General features: G+C 45.8%; 1 protein-coding gene across 7 annotated transcripts in view; it reads left to right on the top strand.

Annotated features, from left to right (window-relative positions):
- RFX2 (regulatory factor X2) overlaps positions 1-9,310 on the top strand; it is a 117,337-nt gene that overhangs the window by 48,263 nt on the left and 59,764 nt on the right. The window lies entirely within an intron of this gene.

Genomic DNA, 9,310 nt, shown 5'->3' with positions numbered 1-9,310 from the left:
GTGTCCCTCTTTCTTTCGGCTAGTTTGGTTTTTTGGTTGTTTTTCATTGTTTTGTTTTGTTACTTGTTTATTCTTTTTAGAGACAGGGTCTTCCTCTGTCTCCCAGGCTGGAGTGCAGTAGTGCAGTCAGCTTACTTCAACCTCAAATTCCTGACCTCAATAATCCTCTGGCCTCAACCTCCCAAAGTGCTGGAATTACAGACATCAGCCACCTTCCCCGGCCCCCAGTTTGTTGTTGTTGTTGTTTGTTTGTTTGTTTGTAGAGATGGGGCCTCGCTATGTTGCCCAGGCTGGTCTCGAACTCCTGGGTTCAATGGATCCTCCCGCCCCTGCCTAGGACATATTTCATTGATCAGGCACCTGCTGGGATCCACACTCGGGGTGGGCACATCAGCTATATCATTCCCTTCCCCCTCCCAGCCCCTTTCTCAGATGAAGAAACCAAGGCCACTGCCACAGTCAGTAAGCGAGTGACAAGCCTGGGACTTGAACCTGAAGCCTGGCCTCCTCCCTCTGCTCCGGGTGGTCATACCTCCTTCCCAGCCACTCGGCATTCCCCTTGGCATTTGTTCTTATTTATATAAATAATGGAGGTTGCAAAGTCTTTTTCCCCCGGCTGCAGCCGACTCCCCAGTAAGATCCAGAGGCGGGGCCGGGAGTAGGAAGGGAACCAAATGTTCCGTTTCTTTGGATGCATTCTGTGGGGCAGGGCTCTCTGCCTGCCTACGGACAGTCTTCAGGTGACAAGGTCTTGATCAGCCAGACTTGTAAGTGTGAAGGGTAGGCTCCAACCCTCTAAAGAAGGGATCCTACAGACAGCAGACCTTTTCGACATCGAAATGGTCTGGAACCCCCACCTTGGTAGTTAATCCCTTGATTTAGCACACACACTGTCTATGCGGTGAAAATTCTTGGGAGGATTTTTTGAGCCAGGGAATGAGAAGACATTGTTATCTTTTGAATCACCCCAATGTGAAAGAAAATTGGCTGGGAGAGGGCAGAGGCTGGAAGCAGGGAGACCAATTAGGAGGCGGATGTGGTGGTTCCAGGTAGGAGATAGGGAGGCAGGGGCTCACTGAAATAGTAGCAGCAGGAGCGGAAGGAAGGGGGAGGCAGAGATGGTATCAGGTGGAGACAGCAGGCTGAGTCACCAGCGACACGTGTCCCGGGGCGCAGGGAGATGCCCAGTGCCTTGAACAGCCCCCTGGCTTAGGAAACGCAAGAGGAGCAATTTTGGCGGGGGGAGAGTTTCCCTTGGACTTGTTGAGGCACCTGAGGGGCGCCCAGGCAGAGAGGTCTGGGAGGCAGCTGGAGAAGGGAGCCGGAGTCAGGTGATTTGGGTGGTGCTGGGAGTCCTGGTGCCGGGAGGTCGTCCACATTGAGTGTGACAGGGGAGGGGCACAAGGGTGGAGGCCGAGGGTGGGAGACAAGCAGGGACCAGTGCAGGGGACTGAGAAGGTATCATTAGGGGGAAAAATGAAACCAGATGACAACAGCACCCAGACACGAGGGAGGACAGAGCTTCGAGGAGCGACACGAAACACTGCAGAGAGTACAAGTTCAGAGGAGGCCCGAAAACTGCCCCGTGAGGACCTCAAGAAGAACAGTGGGCAGACATGAGAATGCAGAGAGAAGACGACAGAGGCTCCCTCCTGAGAGTCTGGACTTACAAATAAAAAAGAATCCATATCTCAAGAGAAGATAAAGGATAAAGAGCAGGGTTTCAGTGGCAGTGGATGTTCTCCTCAAATGGGTGTGATGTGAGCTTGTCTATAAGCTGAAAGAATGGAGCCTGTGCAGAAGCCAGATTGCAGGCTTGATCGGTGGGTCCTTGGAGGGAGACGGAAGGCTCTAGAACCTTCAGGAAGGGGGCCAGCAGCCTTTTCCTGTAAAGGACCAGAGAGTACATATTTTAGGCTTCTGCTGGGGTCTGTCTCAGCTCCTCGCCTCTGCTGTTGGAGCACAAAAGCCATCATAGATAATGGGAAAATGGGAGTTGAAGATGCAAGGAACTGGATGTAGACAGTCTGGATGTGAGATAGTGGGGGGAGGTCAGCACAGGGAAGGAGTTGTGGGGTAGAAGGAAGTGGAAGAGACAGCATGGCAGGGGCATGGCTGAGAGCCAGGAGGTGCAGAGGCGGTGTCAGAAAAGGGGGACAAAAGAGTTGCAATTTTAGAATGGAATCTTGCAAGGAGAAAAGTACAGAGAAAAAAATGTACTTTGAGGCTTTCTCCCAAAGGCATGTGTGTGGATGTGTGAACACAGGCTCCCCCCCATCACTTTTTACTACAAGAATCGTTGTTTTTGTCTAGTGGGAGGAGTCAACATTCAATTTAATAGAAAAATGTATGGAGTAAGAAAATGACGTGTCTTCTGAGTGGTTTTGGCCATTCTTCTCATATTATCCTGCGTCAGGTGGTGTATGTGTGTGCATGTATGTGTGTCTGCATGTGTACTTTTGTGTATACATGTATGTACATGTGTTTGTGTGTGTGTGTTTGTGTATATGTGTATGTCCATGTATATTTGTGTATATGCATACGTGGGGAGTGTATACATGCGTCTGTGTGTGTGTGACACTCTCATGTCCACTCCTGGGGGACAGATATCCACTCCTGGGGGACAGAGCACCAGCTGCTGCTCGGCCTCTAGCTTGGTATCCAGTTACCTTTCACTCCAATGTGTTGGACTTTAGGGCACCCCATAACCTAAGGAGAATTTCCATTTCCTAGAAACCAAGTTTTGTGGTGTTGAAGTTATTGCTAGAAGCAGTGGAATCAGGTTGCCTGCCAAAAGAGTATTTGCTGGGTGAAAGTGTCATGAAGACTTGGTGGTTTTTTAATTCAAAATTCACCCTGAATTTGGTATATTATTGATGGCAGTTAAAATCAGACCACATCAGAGATGAGGTAACCATACTTTAGTTTGGACAATTTTTATATTAATAGTCAAATCAAGGCCAGGCGTGATGGCTCACACCTGTAATCCCAGCACTTTGGGAGGCCGAGGTGGGAGGATTGCTTCAGTCCAGGAGTTCGAGATCATTCTGGGCAACATAGCAAGACCCCTGTCTCTACAAAAAATTAAAAATTAGCCGGGCGTGCTGGTGCTCACCTATAGTTCCAGCTACTCGGTTGGCTAAGGCGGGAGGGTCACTTGAGCCAGGGAGGTCGAGGCTGTAGTGAACTATGATCGCATCACTGCACTCTAGTCTGGGTGACAGAGCAAGACTCTGTCTGAAAAAAAAAAAAGTCAGGTTTCTAAAGGGGAAGGAACGGGTGTTTCCACTGTTAAGACGGGGGTCCCTGGCTTAGGGGAGGCCTTGTCAGCGCAGCCTGCTCTCAGCCTCTGAAGATTAGAACCTGCGACTTAAGGGCCTACTGGGTGTCTGCACTCCCCCATCCCCCTTCCAGTCTGCAAACAGCCCTTTCTCAGGCCAGTTGTCAAGGGCTTGGTTCTGATCCTTTTCTAGAGAAAGGAGGGAAAGTTTGGCTCCTGAGAAGAAAACAGGAACAGAAGCCCAATTCTTACGAAAAGAAAAAGGAATTTGAATTCTGAAGATACTTGATTTCAGAGAAGCTCGGAGCCAGCTCCAGTCCTTGAAAGCCCATTGCTACAAGAGGAGAAAAAAAAAAAACCCAAAAGTGAGGAATGACGGGCACCCCCGTGGCTTAGGCACGGAGGGAACGATGGTTGCCCTTGGTGTGCATTGAAGCCTGCTGCTCTGGAATGTGTGGGTAGCCTTCAGAGGGTCCTGTTCATTTATTTCACACTCCTTGCCTGGCTGAATTGTCATGATTTTGCATCCTGCCTACTCTCCTTTTTCATCTTCCTGTTCTCACCCTGTCTACAGGCCTGTTTTACTCGGGGGCTGTTTGTCCAGACCCCTTCTTAGACATCACAAATCCATTTTGAACAGAGGTCCTTCTGCGCCCCAGGGGACACTGGGCAATGTCTGGGAACATCTGTGGTTGTCACAACTGGGGGTGCTCTTGGCATGGAGTGAGCGGAGGCCAGGGATGCTGCTCAGCACCCTGCAGTGCTCAGGACGGCCCCAGCCCAGAGATGGATCCGTCCCCAATGTCCACAGTGCCAAGTGGGGACACACACTGTCATCTTTGGTGATTATCAGGGCAGAGTAATAACTCTTGGCACTGAGAACCAACTGGGTCCACAGGGAGTAATCCTGGTGCCAGAAAGGACATGGTTCCACCATCAAGGAGGGTTCGAGAATCCACTTTTCGGCAAGGAGATGGCTTGGAGGTGTCCTCCCTGTGCGTGGGGCCAGGCCACACAAGCCTGAACAGTGAGGACAGAATCTTAAAACACGCATCACTTACTCCGAGGACCTGGCCCTCAGAGGGGAGCCGGGAGAAGGAAACGGACAAGACTTTTCTGGGCAGCCTAATGACACTGGGAGTGTTAAGACAAGCTACCAGGACAGAATCTGGGCTTTGAAGCAACTGGTACTCCTGAGAGCACTCCGGGCTTGTTCCTTCTTGTTCAGAGGGAGGAAATTAATTGCTTTCTTAGGGCAGATGAACTCTGGTACCATCTGGAGGCCAGCGAGTACCAGGAGAGGAGGAGCTGATGGCCGGAGGAGGCCACGTGCCTCCCAAACACCGAGGCTCATCAGCCAATCAGAATGAAGGTAACTAAAACCACTCAGCTAACTCTGCCCCAATTATCACCAAAGATGACAAAACATTGTCTAAATACTGATCTGAACTATGTGAGGCAGGTGACAGCTCCATTTGGCATATGGAGGAACAGGAATAGAAGAGAGATTGCTTAAGGTCGCAGTGAGTCAGCGGCTCAGCCAGGAACGGGCCCAGAAATTGCTCTCAGCGTTTTCTGCATTTCCTTTCCTGACATTGCTGGTTACTAGGTGATGGGAGTATTTTTCTGTAAACAGAAGCCTCTTCCCTTTGTGCCCAGGCAGATTCATTCATCACGGCCGTAGTCCAGGGCTGCTTCTAGCTGCGTCTCTCCTGTGCCCCCTCACATGAAGTCAGGAAGCCACGGGAGATGTTCCCACTGGCGCGTTTGACTCAGCAGTGGCTCCAAAAGGTCAAGTGCGCATCTGGTTCACTTGAATGTTCGTTCAAGGTCAAATGAGCGTTTCGTGGATTCCAAAGGCTGGTGCCGGCCAAGGAGGGGAAATTGCGCCGCTGGTTCTGTGCTTTTCCCCTTTATTTCATGCCCGCCCTGATCTTGGACCAGATGGTAAATGAAACGTGCTCAGCTTATAAACAGCACTCCGGGCATATTTCTGAGGCACGAGGGAGGGAGCTTTGGGCCAGCCAAGCCCGTTGGCCAGGCAGGGCCAGGCTGGGTGACAGGTCGTGTTGCGGCCCCTCCCCTTTATATTGGCTGTTCCGAGGCTCCTGTAACCCAGTCTAAGAGGACACAGGGGAAGGCAGTCAAAGTAAGACTGCCCAGGTCCTCGCCACAGGAAGAAAAACAGAAGAGAGGACAAAGGAACGCGAGAAAGCAAGGACGGCAGGGCAGTCACTGAATGGGTCCAAGTTCCCACAGCAGATTCAGGTTCAGAGAAGAAGCATGGCCTCCACTCACTCACATCTACTGTCTTGCACTGGATTGAGGGGTTCCCAAACTGGGTGCTGCAAAGGTGCTCCACAGTGTGCGTCCCTGTGCCCTGTGGACTTTACCTTGAGTACACCCACGCCCTCGGGGCCCTGCCCTCTGCCCACTCTCTGCTGCGCTCTCCTCTGCCAGGTGGAGGAGTTACTCAGGATCCAGCATCACCCCTTCTGGGAGGACCATGTGAGCTACTGCGCTTACCTGGAAGCACCGCCAGGATCATGAGCCACTCCTGCTCATCGCTGGTGTCTTGTGTGTGTGTTTGTTTAACTCCTTATCATGGAAATTTCAAACATCCACAAAGTAAATACACAATGCAATGAAACTTATGAAGCCACCACCCTCTACAGGGTGTCAGGGTCCTGCCATTCTTATAACACCTGGATACCTGTACCCACTCTCCGTCCTCCTCTCCACCCTTGTATTTTTACAGGCTTCGTTGTCATTGTTAAAATTCACATACAGTAAGTGCACAAACCTTAGCTGGCTAATTTTGACAAATCACGACTCCATGTAACCGCACACTGTATTATCATACAGAATGCGTCCATCTCACTGGAGTGTCCCCTCCTGTCCCTTTCCAGTCACTCTCGCCCACCGCCACCTGCCCCCCCACCCACTATTATGATTTTTTTTTAACTTTAGTTTTAATCCACTCTACTCATCTACTCTTTTGGACTCAACTTCTTTCACTCAGCGTAATGATTTTGAGATTCATCCATGCATTGTGAATTTCAGTAATTAATTCCTTTCTATTCATGAAGAGTATTCCAGTAGTATTCCTCTATTAGCTTTTTAGCTATGCTCTTCTTTTCCATTTTTAGTGGTTGTTTTAGGGTTTTCAATATGAATCTTTAAATCATCATAATCTGCAATTTCTCGTCCACTCTCCTGATGAGGAACATTTGGGTTATTTTTACTTTTTGGTGACTGAATCAAACTGCTATGAATAAGGCTGAGGTGGGCAGATCATTTGAGCCCAGGAGTTTGAGACCAGCCTGGGCAACATGGTGAAACCCTGTCTCTACCCAAAATACAAAAATTAGCCGGGTATGGTGCTGCGTGCCTGTAGTCCCAGCTACTTAGGAGGCTGAAGTGGGAGAATCGCTTGAGCCTGGGAGGTTGAGGATGCAGTGAGCTGTGATTGTGCCACTGTACTTTATCCTGAGGGAGACCCTGTCTCAAAAACAAAAAACAAAAACCAACAAACAAAAAGCTGCTATGAACATGCTTATACAAGTTGTTATTATTTTTTTGAAGAGATATGTCTTCATGTCTCTTGGATAAAAACTACAAGAGGAATTCTGGGTTAAAGGGCAGGTTTAACTTTCTAGAAAACTGCCAAACCTCTTTCCAGTGTGGTCATATCATTCATATCTACACATGGGGGTGTGTGAGAGTTTTAGTTGCTCCATGTACTTACAACATTGGATGTTGTCAGACTTGTCAGGTTTAGCCATTCTAGTGAGTATTTAGTGATATCTTGATATAGTTTGAATTTGCATTTCCCTAGTGACTAATGAGGCTGACCACTATTCATGTACTTTTGGGCATCTGTATATCTTGCTTTGTGAAGTACCATTTTTTTAAGTTATTTGTCATCTTATATTGAATTGTAGGAGTTTATATATATAGATATAGATGTAGATATATTAGGATCAAAGCCCTTTATGAGATACATGTTTTGCAAATATTTCTCCCAGGCTGTGGCTTACCTATTCATATTCTTAGCAAAATCTTTTAATGAGCAGAGGTTTTAAATTTTGGTGAAATCTAATTTCTCAAGTTTTTCTTTTATGCTGATTTGTGCATTCTAAGAAACCTTTGTCTAACCTCCTATGTTCTCTCTGAGAAGTCTTATAGTTTTAGCTTTTGTGTGTAAGTAAGTTCATGTTCTAACTTGAAATCATTTTTATGTATGGTGTGAGGTAGGGGTCAAGGTTCATTTATTTTCCCCAATATGGATATTCTGTTGATCCATCACCATTTGTTTAAAAGACTTCTTTCTCTGTTGAATTGCCTTGACACCTTTGTGAAAATCCAGTTGAGGAAGAAAAGAGCTGAGGCTCCATTAGAAAAAAAAATCAATTGATAATCTAAGTGTGGGTTATATTATTTATATATTGTTGAATTTGATTTATTAATATTTTAAATTATTTTTGCATATATGTGCATAAGAGATATTAGTCTAAACACTTTCCTTGTAATATATTTGTTAAGTTTTGGTGTCAGGGTTTACTGACCTCATAAAATGAGTTGTGAAGTATTCTTTTTTTATTTTCTGATGGCATTTGTGTAATAATTCCTTTTTCAGTATTTGATAGCATTCACCAGTAAAACTATATGTGCCTGAAGTTTTCTGTGTAGGGAAGTTTCCAATAACATATTCAATTTTTTTGTTATATGTATTACATTCACATTTTTTTATTTCATCTGTGTCAGTTTTGTTATGTTGTGTTTTTAAAAAAGTGTTCATTTTATATGTTATTGAATTTATGGGCTAAAGTTGTTTGTAATAGTTCTCTATTATCATTTTGATTTCTGTAGAATCTCTAGTGATATATTTCATTTCATTCCTGATATTGGCAATTTGGGTTTTCTTTTCTTATCAGTCTTTCCAGGAGAAGTTGTTAATTAACTTTTTTTAAATACTTGCTTTTTTTTTTTTTTTTTTTTTGAGATAGAGTCTTGCTCTGTCACCCAGGCTGGAGTGCAGTAGTGCAATCTCAGCTCACTGCAACCTCTGCCTCCTTGGTTCAAGCAATTCTCCCACCTCAGCCTCCTGAGTAGCTGGAATTACAGGTGCCCGCCATTACACATGGCTCATTTTTGTGTTTTTAGTAGAGACAGAGTTTCACCATGTTGGCCAGGCTGGTCTCAAACTCCTGACCTCAGGTGATCCACCCGCCCTCGGCCTCCCAAAGTGCTGGGATTACAGGCATGAGCCACCATGCCTGGCCAAGACTTGCTTTTTTAAAGAGCAGTTTTAGGTTCACAGCAAAATTGACAGGAAAATACAGAGATTTCCCATATACCCCATACCTCCACACATGCACAGCTTCCCTCATTATCACCATCACCCACCAGAGTTGTACATTTGTTACAGTTGATGAAATCTGCATTAACACAGCATTTTCACCCAAAGTCCATAGTTTCCTCGAGAGTTCACTGTTGGTGTTGTACATTCTATGGTTTGGACAAATGTATAATGACATGTGTCCACCATTATAGTGCCATACAGAACAGTTCCAGTGTCCTAAAAATCCTCTGTGCTTTGCCTACTCATCCCTCTCTCTGATACCTGGCAACCACTGATCTTTTCATTGTCTTCATAGTTTTGCCTTTTCCAAAATGTTGTTTAATTAGAATCATACAGTATGTAGCCTTTTCAGACTGGCTTCTTTCACTTCATAGTATGTGTTTAAATTTCTTCCATGTCTTTTCATGGCTTGATAGCTCCTTTCTTCTTCTGAAAAAATTTCAGTTTTGAAGAAATATTGCTTTTGTTCATTTTCTCCATTGTTTGTGGAGTTTCTAATTTCATTAATTTTGTTCTTTATTGTTTTTCCTTCTTTCTATTAAGTTTAGTTTGTTTGTCTTTCTATATAGCTTTTTAAGGTTGAAAACGTTCTTAAATCTTTCTAACATAAGCATATAAAGCTAAACATCTCTTTCTAAGCACTGCTTTAGGTGTGCCCACTTTTT

The sequence above is a fragment of the Homo sapiens genome, chromosome 19 (assembly GCF_000001405.40).
Source record: "Homo sapiens chromosome 19, GRCh38.p14 Primary Assembly".
Classification (NCBI taxonomy): domain Eukaryota; kingdom Metazoa; phylum Chordata; class Mammalia; order Primates; family Hominidae; genus Homo; species Homo sapiens.
The sequence above is the reverse complement of the archived record's forward strand: the minus strand, read 5'-3'. Positions and strand labels throughout refer to the sequence as shown.